Source organism: Homo sapiens, chromosome 5 (genome assembly GCF_000001405.40).
Source record: "Homo sapiens chromosome 5, GRCh38.p14 Primary Assembly".
Classification (NCBI taxonomy): domain Eukaryota; kingdom Metazoa; phylum Chordata; class Mammalia; order Primates; family Hominidae; genus Homo; species Homo sapiens.
The window spans coordinates 154,104,626-154,123,049 of record NC_000005.10 but is presented as its reverse complement, the minus strand read 5'-3'; the positions used below and the strand labels follow the sequence as shown (position 1 = coordinate 154,123,049).

The window sequence follows — 18,424 nt, the reverse complement described above, 5'->3', positions numbered from 1 at the left end:
TCTGCTGGAGTTTGCTGGAGGTCCATTCAAGACCTTGTTTGCCAGGGCATCACCAGTGGAGGCTGCAGAACAGCAAAGACTGCTGCCTGTTCCTTCCTCTGGAAGCTTCATCCCAGAGGGGCACCCACCAGATGCCAGCCAGAGCTCTCCTGTATGAGGTGTCTGTCGATCCCTGCTGGGAAGTGTCTCCCAGTCAGGAGGCAGGGGGTCAGGGACCCACTTGAGGAGGCAGTCTGTCCCTTAGCAGAGCTCAAGCACTGTGCTGGGAGATCTACTGCTCTCTTCAGAGCCAGCAGGCAGGAACATTTAAGTCTGCTGAAGCTGCACTTACAGCTGCACCTTCCCCCAGGTGCTCTGCCCCAGGGAGATGGGAGTTTTATCTATACGCCCCTGACTGGAGCTGCTGTCTTTCTTTCAGAGATGCCCTGCCCAGAGAGGAGGAATCTAGACAGGCAGTCTGGCCACAGAGGATTTGCAGTGCTGTGGTGTGCTCTGCCCAGTTCAAACTTCCCAGTGGCTTTGTTTACATTGTGTGGGGAAAACTGCCCACTCAAGCCTCAGTAATGGCAGATGCCTCTTCCCCCACCAAGCTCAAGCATCCCAGGTTAACTTCAGACTGCTGTGCTGGCAGCGAGAATTTCAAGTCTGTGCATCTTAGCTTGCTGGGCTCTGTGGGGCTGGGATCTGCTGAGCAAGAACACTGGGCTCCCTGGCTTCAGTCCCCTTTCCAGGGGAGTGAACAATTCTGTCTCACTGGCGTTCCAGGTGCCACTGGGGAAAAAAACAAAAACAAAACCAAAAAAAACAAAAAACAAAACTCCTGCAGCTAGCTCAGTGTCTGTCCAAACGGCCGCCCAGTTTTGTGCTTGAAACCTAGGGCCCTGGTGGTGTAGGCACCCAAGGGAATCTCCTGGTCTGTGGGTTGCGAAGACCGTGGGAAGAGCATAGTATCTGGGCTGGCACAGTCCCTCATGGCACAGTCCCTCACAGCTTCCCTTGGCTGGGGGAGGGAGTTTCCTAACCTCTTGAGCTTCCTGGGTTAGGCGATGTCCCACCCTGCTTTGGCTCACCCTCCGTGGGCTGCACCCACTGTCTAATCAGTCGCACTGAGATGTGCTGGGTACCTCAGTTGGAAATGCAGAAATCACCCACCTTCTGTGTTGGTCTCACTGGGAGCTGCAGACTGGAGCTGTTGCTATTCAGCCATCTTGCCAGATCCCCAGGTGAATGTGCTTGAGTTGTAATCTTTTTCTGGTGGAGGATGTTGCCTTGGTATTGATGCTGATGAATCAGGGTAGTGGTAGCTGAAGGTTGGGGTGGCTGTGACAATTTCTGAAAACAAGACAATAATGAAGTTCACTGCATATATCAACTCTTCCTTTCCTGAAAGATTTCTCTGTAGCATGTGATAATGTTTGACAGCATTTTACCCGCAGTATAACTTCTTTCAAAATTGGAGACAATCCTCTCAAACCCTGCCGCTGCTTTACCAACTACTTTTATGTACTATCCTAAATCCTTTACTGTTATTTCAGCAATGTTCATAGGATCTTCACCAGGAGTAAACTGTAACTAAAGAAACCACTTTCTTTGCTCATCCATAGGAATTATCTTCACACTTGTTCAAGTTTTCTTATGAGATTGCTGCAATTCAGTTACATCTTTAGATTCCACTTCTAATTCTAGTTTTCTTACTGTTTCTACCACATCTGTAGTTACTTCCTTCACTGAAGTCTTGAACCCTTCAAAGTCATCCATGAGGGTTGAAGTCAACTTCTTCCAAACTCTTATTAATGTTATTTTAACCTCCTCCAATGAATCATAAATATTCATTTTTGGTTTTGTTTTTTATTGAGACAGAGCCTTGCTCTGTTGCCCAGGCTGGAGTGCAGTGGTGTGATCTCGGCTCACAGCAACCTCCACCTCCTGGGTTCAAGTGATTCTTGTGCCTCCGCCTCCTGAGTAGCTGAGATTACAGACATGCACCACCACGCCCAGCTAATTTTTGTATTTTTAGTAGAGACAGGGTTTTGCCATGTTGGCCAGGCTGGTCTCAAACTCCTGTGATCCACCCACCTTGGCCTCCCAAAGTGCTTGGATTACAGGTGTGAGCCACTGTGTCCAGCTTGTTTGTTTTTTTTAGAGACTTGGTCTCACTATGTTGCCCAGGCTAGAGTGCAGTGGCTATTCGCAGGTTTGATCATAATGCACTACACCCTTGAACTCCTGGGCTCAAAAGATCCTCCTGCCTCAGCCTCCTGAGTAGTTGGGACTATAGGCATGTACCACTGCACCCAGCACAATTGTCCTTAATGGCATTTAGAATGATGAATTGTTTCCTGAAGATTTTCAACTTGCTTTGCCGAGATCCATCAGAGGAATCACTACCTATGGCTGCTATAGCCTTATAGAATATATTTCTTAAATAATAAGACTTGAAAGTCAAAATTATTCCTTGATCTGTGGGTTGTAGAATGGATGTTAGGAGGCATAAAAACAACATTAATCTCTTTATACATCTCCATCAAAGCTCTTGGGTTACCAAGTGCATTGTCAATGAGCAGTAATATTTTTAAATGAATCTTTTTTTCTGAGTAAGTCTGAACAGTGGGTTTAAAATATTCAGTAAAACATACTGTAAACAGATGAAATGTCATCAGGGCCTTGTTGTTCCATTTATAGAGCAAAGGCAAAGTAGATTTAGCATCATTCTTAAGGGCCCTAAAATTTTTGGAATGGTAAATAAGCATTGGCTTTAACTTAAAGTCACCAGCTGCATTAGCCCCTAACAAGAGTCCACTTGTCCTCTGTAGCTTTGAAGCCAGGCGTCAACTTCTCCTCTCTCACTATAAAAGTCCTATGTCATCTTCTTCCAATTTAAGGCTGTTTCATCTACATTGAAAAGCTGTTGTTTAGTGTAGCCACCTTCATCAATTATCCTAGCCAGATCTTCTGGATAATTTGCTGCAGCTTCTATGACAGCACTTGCTGTTTACCTTGTACTTTTATGTTATGGAGATGACTTCTTTCTTTAAATCTCATGAACTGATTGCTCCGGATTAGGCTTTGGCTTAAGAGAATGCTGTGGCTGGTTTGATCTTCTATCGAGATCACTCAAACTTTCTCCATATCAGCAATAAGGATGTTTTGCTTTCTTATCATTTGTGTATTCACTAGAGTAGCACTTTTAATTTCCTTCAAGAATTTTTCCTTTGCATTCACAACTTGGCTACCTATTTGGTGCAAGAGGCCTATCTTTTGGCCCATCTTGGCTTTCGACATGCCATCCACATTAAGCTTAATTATTTTTAGCTTTAGATTTAGATGTGCAACTCTTTCTTTCACTTGATCATTTAGAGGCCATTGTAGGGTTATTACTTGGCCTCATTTCAATGTTGTTGTCTTTCGGAGAATGGGGAGGCTGGAGGAAAGGGAGAGACACAGGGGAATGGCTGGTCGGTGGAGCTGTCAGAACACAAATGACATTTATTCATTAAGTTTGCCATCTCATGTGGTTGTGGCTTGTGGTGCCCCCAAACAATTTACAATAGTGACCTCAAAGATCACTAATCACAGATCACCATAACAAATATAATAATAATGAAAAATTTTGAAATACTATGAACATTACCAAAATGTGACACAGAGACACGAATAAGCATATACTGTTGGAAAAATGGCACCAATAGACTTGCTCAATACAGGTTTGCCACAAACCTTCAATTTGTAAAAAACACAGTATCTGTGAAGTTCAATGAAGCGGAGAGCAATAAAACGAGGTATGCCTGCACCTGCTGCCTCCTTCAGACCAGGCATGCACTCTGCAGTCTCCCACCCACCTCTCATTTCTGTCTGTGTTTGAGTCTGTGTTTCCTCTCCTTAAAACCACTGGAAAAGGAAGGAATACAATCCCTGGGCCTGGGACATAGTGGGTGCTCAGCAAATATTTGTGGAATGAATAAATCCCCACTTGCCAATCAGGTTCTGAGAGTCTCACTGACTTAGCAAAGGTCACATGACTAGTGGGTGGCAGAGAAAGGGATGCAAAGAGGCTCTGCCTGGCTGCACAGCCTAGGGAAGGCGTTTGACAGCAGTCCAAGTACTGGCCCACATGTCCTTTCTCACCTATTAGCTGGTTAATGGCCGCAGACTTGGTCTCCAGCCCTTAACTATCTTGCTGCTCTCAGTTGGAACAATAGTAACCGCCCCATTAACACAGGCTCTTGGGAAGGAGGCCTTGGGCCTTGGGGAATAAATGAGCCCTGAGTGACTTTACAGCTCCATAGAGTCAGGTTTGAGTCTCTTTTCCTTTTTATTTCTCTTTCCACATAGCTCCCCTAGGCCTCATCAAATCTGCTGACAGCTAGCACAGGGGAGCACTGTGAGAAGGCAGAGTGAGGGCTTCCCTAAGCAAGGTGGGGGCCCTGCACCCATGACCTAGGGGCTCCTTACAAGACCGCAGAGTGCATGCCTGGTCTGAAGGAGGCAGCAGGTGCAGGCATACCTCGTTTTATTGCTCTCCACTTCATTGAACTTCACAGATGCTGTGTTTTTTACAAATTGAAGGTTTGTGGCAAACCTGTATTGAGCAAGTCTATTGGTGCCTCTTTAGGGGGGAAGAGCAGGGTCTTCAGGTTTCCTAGGCCTCTCATTCTCCCAGGATTGAGGTGCTTCATTGCCTTAAAAAAGAAGAGCTAATTGTTTTTTCATTCAACAAACAAGTACTGAGCATCTCCTCTAAGCTAGAAGTGAGGGCTGGGGAGAATTCAATAGACATGTTCCTGTATTCTAGTAGGAGAAGCAGAAAAATGAGCCTGCAAGAAAAAATGCTCTCTCACAGAAGGAAGGTGCTGTGGGAAGGCCGAGTGGGAGGACCTGACTAATGCAGGGATGGACAGCAAGGGCTCCCCTGGTGATGCGGCCTTTGGCTTAGACCTAAATGATGAGCGGGAGGTGGCTAGGGAAGAGGGGGTTAGAGCAGCATCCCCCAGGGAGAGGAAATGGAATGTGAGAAGACCCAGAGGCAGATGTGAGGAGCTGAAAGTGGCTTAGTGGGCTGGAGCACAGAGAGGAGGTGGCAAAGGAGAAGGCAGGAAGGCAATACAGGGGCCTGGTCAAGCAGCTAACAGCTGAATTGCTGCGAGCACTTACTATTTGCTGTATTAAACATTTTCTCTGTGTAACAGGATGTTGGGGAACCTCATTCTTTGCCCTGAGATACGGGTACCTAGTTCCAGGGCAGAGGATCAAGAAGTAATGCTTTCCCCCTCTTCTGATGAGGAATGCCAGCAGTAGTGTCCAGAAGCATTCCCCAGGGAAAGCTGGAAGACAGAAGAATGAGTCCTATCACCCTGGTCAGCCCCTATATTCTTCTTTTGGTTTGCCATTGAAAACTAAGCCAGGTGTGGGTACGGTGGCGCACACACAGTGCTAGGGCAGGAGGATTGTTTGAGGCCAGGAGTTCCAGGCCTCACGCTTGTAAAATAGTCACTGCACTCCAGCCTGGTTGGAGGCAGGGAGAAGAAAAGGAAAACTAAGAAGAAAAGCAGAATTGTGGCCAGAAACCAGCAGTGTTCCTGGTAAGTTTCCTTCCATCTCCGTCCCTGAACCCCATATCCTTCCCTTCAGCGAGTCAGAAGGTGAGGCTGTGTGGAAGGGCTTCCAGGGAATCTCTCCTGCAGTTTGAGGGATCCTGCAAGAAGGGGAGAGTGACAAGTCATCCTCAGCTGAACATTTGCTGAGTGGTATAACCTGTAGGCCCAGTCTATGCTGCCATGGGAATGGAGTGTGGTGAATGAGCTCATCATGTGGGTCCCCTGCTGGGTGTGGGTCCCCTCCTCAGCATGGGTCCCCTGGGGTTTGCGAGTAAACATGGAAACTGATGCTAGGAAGGGAGGACAGCTGGAGCTTCCTGGGCCGGCAGGTGAAGAGGGAGCTGGCGCGTGGTACGTGCCTGAGGACCCAAAGGACTGAGTGGTCAGGGGTTTCTGCAGCTCCTGGTAAAGGAGACTGGGGGCTTCCAAAAGAGGCTGCAGTGGGTTGAGGAAGGCTCAGTTCACCCTGAGAAGAGAGGGACTAGTGTGGGCTGCCCCTCTCTGGGTGGTTCTCAGAGCTGCTAGTAAACTAAGTCAAATGCTACCCTAAGAAAAAGTAGACACACCACCAATACAAAGACCACCACAGCAGCAGAGGCTACCAGCACCATGTGGAAAGGCACTGGCCCTTTGGGAGGTGAGGGACACCTCTCTACCACTGCCAGGTGGTCAGATGTGTGACACATCCACTGCCTGCCTTGGATACTGGATGCTAGAGGAGGAAGGAGAGACCTAGAACAGAGATGGGAGGATGTAGACAATTGCTTTGAGATGCTAGGGAGGAGGGGGGTGAATGAGTAGGCCAAGTGCCTTCCCCACTTCTGGCCCTGTTTCTTGAGTCATGGGTCCAACCCACACCAGGAGGAGGGAAGAAATGAGGTTTAAATCAAGCAGGAGTTTTACATTAGACTGGACTTTTCATGGCCAGAATGTTTTGGTATCTGCTGAAATCATCATTACCACATGGGTAAGGTAGTGGATTTGGCTGAGTACAACTAGAAGTAAAAATAAAGGGAAAAAGGAGGCATTGCCTGTCGATGGCTTAATAAATCAGTTACCTGTTCATTGAATCCTCAAAAGATTCAATCACTGAATCCTCAAAAGAATCATATAAGGCAGGTACTGTGACAATCCCAGTTTTAGAGACGAGGGAAGCAAGGATCCAGAGGTTCCAGAATTTAATCAAAACCACATACCTAATGAGTAGCTGAGCTAGGATTTTTAACTTACACTCTTGGACTCTAAAGCTAAATCACTGAACAGCACCACTTCCTCAGAGGGGAATCTCAGCTGCTGCCCCATGCAAGCATCGCCTCTCTCTCTGAGTGAATCCAGTGGTGGGAAACTTACCATCTGCCCAGACATCTTATTCCGTTTTCAGATGGCCGTTGAAATAATCACTACTTATGTTTTCATAGGGCTTTGTAGTTACCACATATGACACTCATTCAGTAAATATTTATGGGGGGCCTACTACTGTGCTGAGGGCTGTGCAAGGTATCTGACCTCCCACCCACTCTGAGGGCTCTGGAGGCAATTCTTTCACTTTTCTTCTGTGTATGAAGAAAGGGAGGCACAAAGAGATTGATGACTTGCCTAAGGTCACACAGAGCCAGGACCACCACCAGCACCACCACCGCCAACTATTTCTTGGAGGTTTAGCACGTACCAAGAACTGTGCTAAGTGCTCTACACAGTCGTATGGGGCTTGAGAACTCCTGTTCAGTGCTCCTTCCACTGCCCCAGCTGGCTTTCCCACACTTTCATTTCTGATCCCCACTTTTCTGCATGGAGCTTCTGGCCAGAGGATTGGGTACCGGGATGCCTGGGAGCGGCATGAGTCTTAGAGAGAGGCAGATAATTTGGCTTCCTTCCCTAGCCCCGGCTCATCACACCTGCTGCTGTAGGAGAAGGCACTGACAGCTCCAAGAATGAGCCCTTGATTAACATCTCATCCTCTATAAATAAGTGAGTAAAGACACTCTGCATAAACAGCTTCACTGCTTCCCCTGTGCCCATTAGTGTTCCCCCCGCCTTGGCACTGATTTTGGGCTTTACCACTTCAAACTGTCAGCCAAACTCCTTAGCTTGGCAGTGGGTCCCCTGGCCTTCTGGTCTAGTTGAGCTGTCTTCTCTCTGGACTTACCAGTTGCCTATACAACTAGTAGCCAGTTTACCCTGAGAAGGCATGGGTTCAAATCCCAGCTCTGCCACTTTTGGCTTTGTCACCACAGATGAGTTACTTAACTTCTCTGCCATGTAGAATAGGGATGATAAAAATAGTCTGTATCCAGAAACTTACATCCTGGTTGGGAAGACAGACGCAAAACAAGGTTAAGCAGTCATGTACATGAGACTTTCCGTCAGTGATGAATAGTGTGATTGAGACTGGTTGAGGGTGGTCAAAAAGGGCTCCTCTGCGTAGGTGATATTTAAGCTAAGACACTAACCATGTGAAACAGCTGGTCCAAAGAGGATCTAAGAGCGGCTGGCTCCAGGCAGAGAAAGAACAGAGAGCGAGTAGAAACAGGGAGCCAGACTCTGGGCCAGCTCTCTGGGGAGGGCCTGGCAGGGGAAGGGACTCGTTCAAGGGGTCTCTGATGCTAGGAGATGGGTGAGAAGATTGTCCAGGCCTCTCATAAGGAACATATTGAGGGGAGATGGTGTCCTAGAGATTGGGTTGGCATTAATAAGTGGTTAAAGAATGGGGAGGAAAGACTAGGGGACACTGATGTTGTCAAGAGGCCCATAAGCAAGTTTCCAGGGGCTGGGCTGTAGCAGCACCTTCCACTGAGGAGTGGAGAGAAGGTGGCAGATTCTGCTTTCCTCTCTCCAGGTCCCCCATCTTCTCTCCCCTTTCCTAAGTTTAGCCACTTATACAATGATGTGCTGATAAGTGTTTAACAACTGGCTTTCCAAGCAAATACAAAAGGCACTGATTTATAGCTATTGCCAATTGTTGTGGTGTAAACATTCCCACCCTGGCCAATTTTAAGCTGCCAATGTAATGTCTGTGATGGAGGAGTTGAAAGAGATGTGCACAGTGAGATCTGAGCAGCTGGTGCAGGCTGGCTCCAGCACACCATCACATTTACACCTGAGTAATAATGTATACCATTTATACCCTGAGTAAGAATGACCAGCATTTACGAAGCACTCACTATGTAACAGCAACAGTTGCCAGCACTTCATATCTGCTAACTCCCAACAACCCTATGAGGTGGAAGCTCGTAATATCCCAATTACACAGAAACACAGTCTCATAGGTTCAACAACTTGCTAAGGTCATGCAGGTAGGAGATGATGGAGCCAAGATTAAACTCAGAGAGTCTGATTCCAGAGCCTGTGCTCATCAGATGAATTTATTTTTCTATTTTGATTTTTTAATGGTTTAAAACTTTTTAATTATAGTATAACTTATGTAAAGTGAATGAATCCTAAGTGTACAGCTCAATAAATTTTTACATATATACATTCTTGTAACCAAATCAAGTTATAGAACATTTTAAGTCCAGCTGGCTCCTTCATCACCCTCCCCTGTGACACTCTTCCTCCAGAGGTAACCACCATTCTAATTTTTATCAGCATAGATTCATTTTTCCTGTGCTTGGATTTTGATGTAGATGGAATCATTTGGTACATAATTTCTTGCATCTCATTTCTTTCTCTCCAGTGGTGTGTCTATGAGATTCTTCCATGTCATTGCATGTATTAGAAGTTTGTTCTTTTGCGCTATCATGTGGTATTTCACATTGTGTGAAATCACTATGAAATATGTATCTATTCTCCCATGGATGAATGTTGGGGTTATTTCCACAGAGCATGCTCATAATCACTAGGATGTACTGTCACTCAGGTATGGGTGGGATTCCCTGAGTCTTCTGAGAGATTTGCATCCTTAGCATGTGGGCTGAATGGTATCACTGACTGTGTTAGTTTCTGATTGCCGCTGTAACAAATTACTGCACACTCTGTAGCTTAAAACAACACAAATGTGTCATCCTACACCTCTGGAGGTCAGAAGTCTAAAATGGGACAGCAGGGCTACAACCCTTCTGGAAGTTCTAGGGGAAAAATCTCTTTCCTTGTCTATTCTAGATTCTGGAGGCCTCCTGCATCACTCCAACCTCTGCTTCTGTCATCACATCTTCTCTTATTCTGACACCTCTATCTTCCTGTTATCTGAATGTTGTGATTATATTGGGACTATCCCAGACAATCCAGGACAATCTCCCCATCTCAAGATCCTTAATCATATCTGCAAAGTCCTTTTTGCCACATAAGGTAACATATTCACAAGTGATGGGAATTATTAGTAGACCATGGATGGCTTTGGGGGATCATTATTCTGCCCATCACACTGGACTATCTACTAAGTAAGGAATATTGATGTAATGAACAGAGCCCTGGGGTGGGAATCGGGAGCCTGGGGTTTCAGGGTGGACTCTGCATTGAGTCTCAGTGTGACCTAGGGTGATCCCTCACCTCTCTGGGCTTTGGATAGATATAAAATGAAAAGCTGGACCAGATGATCCAACCCAAAGGTGCCTTCCAATCTCCACTTTATATGATTCTACAGAGAAGCTTTAGGCTTGGAGTTCTACCCAGCCACATTTTTTTTTTAACTGCATGTGCTCATGTCTTTCCATCCCCAGGGAAAAGGGAGTGTGCCTCCTGAGAAGACCAGAGAGGCTTACAGCATGTCACCCCCTTCCTCTCCCTTTCTCTTCCTTTCCATCACATGGCCTCTGGGCCTTTCATCCAGAATGTCTTTGAAACCTTGGTATTGTCTTGCCAGTTACCCCAGGTCATACCCTCCCACTTTCAATCTTCCTTTAAGTAGAAGTTTAAAAACCCAATTTGAAAAAAAAAAGAAATGGTTGCCCACATCATTTCAAGGGCCTGGCTGATCAAGTAGCTCCTTCAGGAGGCAGAGTGCAAAGCTCTCAGGAAGAAGTAACAGAGATGCCCTGATTACTCAGTTCTGATATAAGCACACCTGTTCTTTCATTTGCATTTGAGGGCTGTTCAAGCCAAGGACTCCCAATAGCTATTGAAAAGTGAAAGTGAGAAACCAAATTGTTTTCTTTTTTTTCCCCAAACTGGAAGCCTGCTTTGTTGGAAAGTGAACCAGCAGCTTGTTGGGCCTCCACATTTTCCAGGTGCCAAGCAGTTGATCTTTCCCAACTGAAATCTTGTGGTTGATCACCTCCTCCATCCATGCTTTCATTGATATAATCATTTATTAGCAACCACTTATTCAGAATTATTCACCACATGCTAGTTAGTGCATGTGTTTGAAGTCAGATACTCATTCGATAAATGTTTTTTAGGCATCTATTATATGTTGGGTGCTGTGCTCGGCACTGGGGACAAAATAATAAGCAAAACAGACAAGGGGCCTGGCCTCATGGAGCTTGTACTGATGGAGGAGACATATGGTAATCACATAATCCCACAAAACATGGAATTACGGACTGTGGTAAATGCCATGAAGGAGAAACTAGGGAAGCTGTGAGAGCTGATTACAAGAGGGTATGACATGGTTTAGGGGTTGGGAGAGTCTGCCTTGGGGAAATCCTTTTGAGCCAAGAGCTGAAGATCTGAAACCATAATTAACTGGGTGAAGAAGGGCATGTGATGCTACCAGGGAAACTGCTCAGGGAAAGGCCCCAAGGCAGAAGGAAGCTGAAAATATTGAGGGCTTTGAAGAAAAGCGGAGAGTGAGTGAGAAGGGTGGGGAAGGAACACATAATGGAAAGTTTTGAATTTATTTTACTTTATTTTTTTTTCTGAGACAATATCTTGTTCTGTCATCCAAGCTGGAGTGCAGTTATACAACCATGGCTCACTGCAGCCTTGACCTTCCAGCCTCAGGTAATCCTCCCACCTCAGTCTCCCAAGTAGCTGTGACTGCAGGTGCATGCCACCATGACTGGCTAATTTTTAATTTTTTTTTAGACATGGGGTCTCCCTATGTTGCCCAGGCTGGTCTCAAACTCCTGTGCTCAAGCGATCCTCCCACCTTGGACTCCCAACACGCTGGGCATGAGCCAGGCATAAGCCACTGTGCCCTGCCTGAATTTCCTAATTCTGCGATAAAGTCCGTGAACAAGTTAACTTTCAGTGTTCTCATCCATAAAATGGGTACAATAATTCCTTCCTTGCAGGGTGGCAGAAGAACTTACTGAGATAAAGTATGCAAAGTGCTTGGCCCTGAACCTGGTCTATGACAATCTTTGAATAAATGGTAGCAATTAGTTTATGACTGTGTGCAAGGTGTGCTGTTGCTGAGACGTGGGGAGGAGAGATGAATCAGATTGGATCCATGCCTTTGAGCAGCTTCTAATACAGTCAGGGAGATCAGCAATAGCTAGTCCATCAGTGTGCTATCAGAGTTTGTCTGCTGAGAGTATTGTGGGAGTCAGGCTCAGAGGAGGGAGTTCTGATCCTGTGGGGAGTCAGGAAAGACTGGTTGGAGGAAGAGGCATCTGACTCACACAATAAACATGAAGCATGCATGGAAAGCAAGGAACATCTTCCTTTCCTTCCTGCAGGAAACCAGGGAGCATCTTCGCCTCGCTGGGAGCATCTGGGAAGCAGAGAGAGAAACAGCTGTGTTCCCTGACCTTCTGTTGAAGTGCAGGAACTCAGAGGCGTCACTTCTCTTATTAATCCAGCTGTGAGCATTTTTTAGGCTAGCTGTCCCCCCATCCCTGAACCCCTGAGGAATGAGGTGCAGAGCCTCCAAACAATATCATTAAAATGCTTCCCAGGAAGAGACTGAAGCCCAGCGGGTGAGAAGCTGACAGCAGCACTTAGCCATGCCGGTGGAGATAGAGGCTGAGGCTGAGACGGGAAGTGCCTCCTGTCTGGCTCTGCACCCACTAGTGAGCCAACCTTGGACACATCCCCTCACCTCTGGGCCTTGGTTTTCTCACCTGTAAAATGAAGATTGGCCTAGATGATCTCAGATGATATTTGTTCCCCTGACATTCCATGTTTTTAAAAGGAAACTATGAAATGGCTACACTACCCCCTTGCTAAGATTTTGGGGACCATTTTTTCTGATAGGATATAGAAGAAAATGAAATGGAGGCAATTCCCCAGGTAATTCTGGCTCCCTCAAAAACCTCTTTATATGCAAAATCTACACAATTGCAAGCTCAGTTTGATTGTGAGCCTAGACTATACCTGACTAGCTAATTCACTTCACTTCCTCTTCCTAAATGTAGAACTTGCGTTGATATTTCTAAGAAATATGTGATCATGGGCAAGTCATTTAACCTTTCCAAGTCTCTCCTTCTTAAAATGAAGACATTCAACTAAATCATCTTTTTGTAGCCCTTTTGGCTCTCATTTTCTTTGCTCTTGTTTATTCCTGGCTTTGATCCTTCTGCAGCTCACTTATCTCCAGGAACAAGTGAGATATGGAAAAAGCAACCCCAGGTGGGCTAGTGTCTCCCTAAATCTCCTGTCGTGATCTGAATTAAATAATGTGTTTAATGGTGCCTTTCACAGACCAGCAGAATAGCAAAGTACTTTATAAGCACAGGCTTTCAGGCAGGCAGCCTGGGATCACATCTGGTCTCTACCACTTACTAGCTGTGTGGCCTTGAACAAGTACCGATCAATGTGAAGTATGTGTAAGTTTCCTTGTCTGTAAAATGGGAATTAGGATGGCCTATTGCTATTCTAATGAGAGTTAACTGCATATTGCTTAGAGTTGTTAGGAGGATTAAATATGTAGTGTTTTCCAGGAAATTTCTATCTACTGTAAGAGAAAACATATTTTTCTGATAAACATGCAACTGACCCTTGGTTAGGGAAATAGGGAGTGGTAGGGATTGTAGCCAAGTAGAGTGTATATTCCCTCCAAATAGGGTGGCTTACTCCAGTGACTATAACGTCGTAGGTCCCAGTGTTGCCAGGTCTGATTTTTTTTTCACAGGAAACCTGGATTTGTATGTGAAATTTCCTGAATTTTATACATTGGCTTGTATTTTTTTTTAATACTATGCAGGACAAATTAAAACACAGCTGTGGCCAGGATGTGGCCTGCAGTTTGCCAGTTTGTAACCTTTAATAAGTGCTCAATGAGTGGTAGGAAAAACCCTGATTGTCTAATTTAGCTCTCTCAACAACTCCATTTTACAGATATGGAAATTGAGGTCAAGGCTAAGAGACGTGAGATGACTTCCCCAATGTTACATGGTTGGATTATATTAGAGCCAGGATTTTAACACAGGTCTTTGGACTCCCAGTCTGGTGCTCTTTTTGCTAAGCTACAAGAATCCTTCTGGAAGATCACAGCCTTGATGCTAAGCTGCCTGGAACTGTCTAGAAGCCTCGTGGGAATTCAGGGACTGGAGACACAGCTCTCCTCACCTCTTTTCCACATATTTTCCTACAGTACTTGCAGATAACAGTAGTTTGAGGTCATCCACAGACCCTCAGCCTATGTGCCTACATGTAACACCTGCAGCTCAACAGTGGCTCAGGACAGAGTGTTGTGGGGGTGAAAGGGGGTGGCAATTCACAGCTTCCAGGCACCAGAACTGTCTCAGCAGTTCTTCTCGCCCCAAGCCTGCCAGCTTTGCCCACTTTCCGAGTTAGAATCACAAAATGTCTTTTAGTTGCAAAGCATCATAAAAGGATACAGGACAAAATAATCCTCAATACAATATAATTATAACATATAATCTCCTTTGCATTTAAACACTTGAGCTTTAGCACACTTTAAGCTAAAAATGGGTGGTTGTTTATTTTTAACAAAACAAGATTAGCAAATGAAAATACACTATCATTCTTTTTTTTTTTTGAGATGGAGTCTCGCGCTGTTGCCCAGGCTGGAGTGCAGTGGCGCGATCTTGGCTCACTGCAACCTCTGCCTCCTGGGCTCATGTCATTCTCCTGCCTCAGCCTCCTGAGTAGCTGGGACTACAGGTGCCCGCCACCATGCCCAACTAACTTTTTATATTTTTAGTAGAGACGGGGATTCACCGTGTTAGCCAGGATGGTCTCGATCTCCTGACCTCATGATCCGCCCACGTCGGCCTCCCAAAGTGCTAGGATTACAGGCATAAGCCACCGTGCCCGGCCTACACTATCATTCTTATTAGAAAGAGCTGAGCATCACTGGGCTGGGGAACTCCTTTGGGGAGCCTGATATGTCTTTCTAAATCTCCCATTGGGGCCCAATTCTCAACCTTCATTTCCATCACTTTAAATTCTAGTGCAAACCAGCCCAGCCCTCCTGTCAGCATTTCCCGGCTCTGACAAGCTCTCTGCCCATCAGGAACTCCTCTCCGCTCCATTCTAAGAACCTTGTTAGGGGTGACTAGGATGTGTAACGTTGGCAAATCGCTTCTGAAAACACGTTTCCCACTTTGGCAGGAGATGGAACAGGGACTATCCTGCTGGGGAAATGGCATGGCTTATCAGCTTTGGCCCCGACTCCATGTTCTTTACCGGGGTTTTCGTAATTTCTTTTCCCTCAATTGCTTCCTCTCAAAGGTATTTGCATTTAAACAAGAGTTTGCTCCCCTGCTGATTATTTTCCCCTTCTTTGATTCCATTGCTAAGGCAGTCAGAGTTGCTGGCATGTTGATGGCTGGATGGGCTCCATGGCAACAGCCAAGGAGTTGAATGGTGTGAACTTCACCTCCTTCCTTTTGCAGATACTATTGGCAGGGTAGGCACATTTAGGAGAAATTTCAAGGAAGTGAAAACGGAACTATTTTTCACCTCTGGGTGTCCTGGGCTTGTTTCGGAAACCTCTGGCCTGATTGAAATTCCTCAGAGAGGAGAAATTACTGTGAGTGATGTTTTAAAGCCAAATGCACATGGTTCTATCCGGGGAGAATGGTATAAGGAACAGGAAGAACAAGGTTCTAGGGTCTGTGCTGTCACCAACCAGTGGCGTGACCTTGAGCAGAGAGGTGATCTCTGGTTTACTTGGGTACTTTGCACACTGCTGAGTGAGCTCCCTGAGGGGCTTGGTTCATCTTGCATTCTAGCGGAGGAGTTCAGCATACTAAACATACAAGCTTTGTCATCAAAGCTGGTCCCAAACCTAGGTGCATTATATACAAGGCTTGTGACTTCAAACAACAACTTGATTGTTTTAAGCTGTGGCTTTCCCCAGAGGGTAAAATGGGGCTGTAGCAGATGGAATTGTTCACAATTCTTCAAACCCTCTATCTTCCATGTGATTATGCAGTGCATACATGTGCACAGAAGTAGATTTTCTCATTCAATAGATGTTGAACTTGGCCATGTGACTTGCTTGGGCCAATGGAATGTTATCAACTTGGTATGAGCAGAGGCTGTAGTGTGCTTCCAAGGTTTGGTTTGGTTCTTAACATCCTATGATCCACCATTGAAAGAGCAAGTACTTTACAGTGTCTGGTCTAAGGAGAAAGAGGACACACATGGAAGATGTGATGACTAGAACCCAATCATCAGCTTGGAGATAACCTATGGCTTGAACCTGAGCCCTTCCCAAACTAGCCTGCAGACCCATGAGCTAGAAAATGAAATGCTTTTTATCGTAAGCCACTCCGTTTTGGGGGTAGTTTGTTATGCAGTATTGTGGCCACAGCTAACTAATATAGAGAAGCTACAATAGTGAGAATTAGAAAATATGCAGGCTGGACATGGTGACTCACACCTGTAATCATAGCACTATGGGAGGTTGAGGTGGGAGGATCACTTGAGGTCAGGAGTTCAAGACCAGCCTGGGCAACATAATGAGACCCAATCTCTAAAAAATATTTAAAAATTAGCTGGGCATGGTGGCATGCCTGTAATCCCAGCTACTTGGGAGTCTGAGGTGGGAAGACCACTTGAGCCCAGGAATTCAAGGTTATAGTGAGCTATGATTGTGCCTCTGCACTCCAGCCTGGGCAAGAGAGCAAGATCCTGTCTCTGAAAAAAATAAAATAAAAAAGAGAATATGCATGTGTTACTCAGATGTTGGCTGCCTCCATGTGCCACTGCTTTGTTCAGTCTGAATCAGCTCCAAAGCAGGATTTTGTATTTGATCAACTCTCTCTGCTCCCAACCCCCCTCAAGTGTAGTACATGACCTTAAGAAGATTTTACTGAGGAGACAGAGATGGCTTATACCATGCTGTGCACAGCAACTTACATCAAATTCTTTATAAACATATCTTTTTCCCTTCAAAGACTACCCTGGGCTACCATATAGTTATTACTCTCTATCTGTTGACAAGCCCCATGCTCCCTCTGAGACCCTCCTCATCACTCTCTGCATTCTCAGAGGAAGTTAGCTTTAGCTTGCCCCCCTCCAAGCTTGTGTCCTATGTCCATCACTTAATGTCTTGAGGTACAGTACACCCACGCCCCACAGCAAGTGAGACTTCAGTTGTCCAGATCCATCCCCTGAAATGGTGTAGCAGGTAGCAGACATTATTCTTGCCTGAAGACCTCATGCAGCCTAAAAATGGGCAGGACAGAAATGCCAGGTGTTGACTCTGTTGGGTGATGGATGGGAGTTGGTCAATAAGTACCTAATATGGTTTGGCTGTGTCCCCACCCAAATCTCATCTTGAATTGTAGCTCCCATAATCCCCACATGTCGTGGGAGAGACCCCATGGGAGGTAATTGAATCACGGGGGTGGGTTTTCCCATGCTGTTCTCATGATAGTGAATAAGTCTCACAAGATCTGATTGTTTTATAAAGGGCAGTTCCCCTGCACACACTCTCTTGCCTGCTACCATGTAACACATGCCTTTCCTCCTTCTTTGCCTTCCACCATGATTGTGAGGCCTTCCCAGCCATGTGAAACTGTGAGTTCATTAAACCTCTTTTACTTTATAAATTACCCAGTCTGGGGTATTTCTTCATAACAATATGAAAATGGACTAATATAGTACCTTAGCTTCCTTTTCCTTCGAAGGAGCAACTCTGAGGCATGTTCTACACTGTGTACTTGAGGACCCAGAAGATTTGAACCCCAGGTACTCACAGCAGTCACCCTCTCAGTAATACACCCAATACTGCCTCCTTTCCCTTTCCTGTCATTCTTAACCCACTCCCTTACCATCTCTTCTCCAGATCACCTCCCAAGTAAACTACATGCATCCCGATCTTGGTCTCAGAGTCTTCTTTTGGAGGAACTCAACCTCAGACAGATGGTGTGTGTGTATAAGTGTGTATGCACACTTACATGTGTGAATGCATGTAAGTGTGTAGATGATATTAAGAGTAAGTAGATACTTTTCTTGCTATAAATACTGGTTCCCTCCTTACTTAATGTGGTGTCAGGCAGACAGTTAGCGTTCAATACTTGGTGGCCATGATGATCATGATGGTGATAACTTTGGTGACGGTGAATCTCTATGTACTTGGCATTGTCCCCCAGGAATCTTCTCCATAGACTCTTATTGCTTGTTGCTTGAACATCTGAACTCATAGGTACCTTTTTTACTTGTAATACTCTCTACCTGCCCCCAAGCCCCATTCTCCCTATGAAACCCTCCTCGTCACTCTCTGTCTTCTCAGATACAGGAAGTTAGTTGCAGCCTCTAGTCTGGCTTTAGTAGTAATAGTAACCTATAACTTCTAAAGAATATTTTAGAGTTTATAAAATGAGTTGATATTCATTCATTCACTTACTCATTTATGCAACTATTATGTTTCAAATGCCTACCACATGCCGGGCATTGACCAAGGTGCTGGAAGAACAGCAGGGACCAACACTGGCAAGGTCTGTGCCCTCATGGAACTTAGGTTCTAGTGGCGGAGAGGCACACAACAGTGAATTAATTTAAATAATATTCTAAGCAAGTATTTAAAAACACAT

General features: G+C 45.5%; 1 annotated feature.

Annotated features, from left to right (window-relative positions):
- Nucleotides 15,044-16,040: an enhancer, noted in NCBI's record as "OCT4-NANOG-H3K27ac-H3K4me1 hESC enhancer chr5:153486570-153487566 (GRCh37/hg19 assembly coordinates)". NCBI's record gives its function as "activates a minimal SCP1, AML or CMV promoter by ChIP-STARR-seq in naive H9 embryonic stem cells {active_cell/tissue: H9 hESC(naive)}" and the evidence as "EXISTENCE:reporter gene assay evidence [ECO:0000049][PMID:30033119]".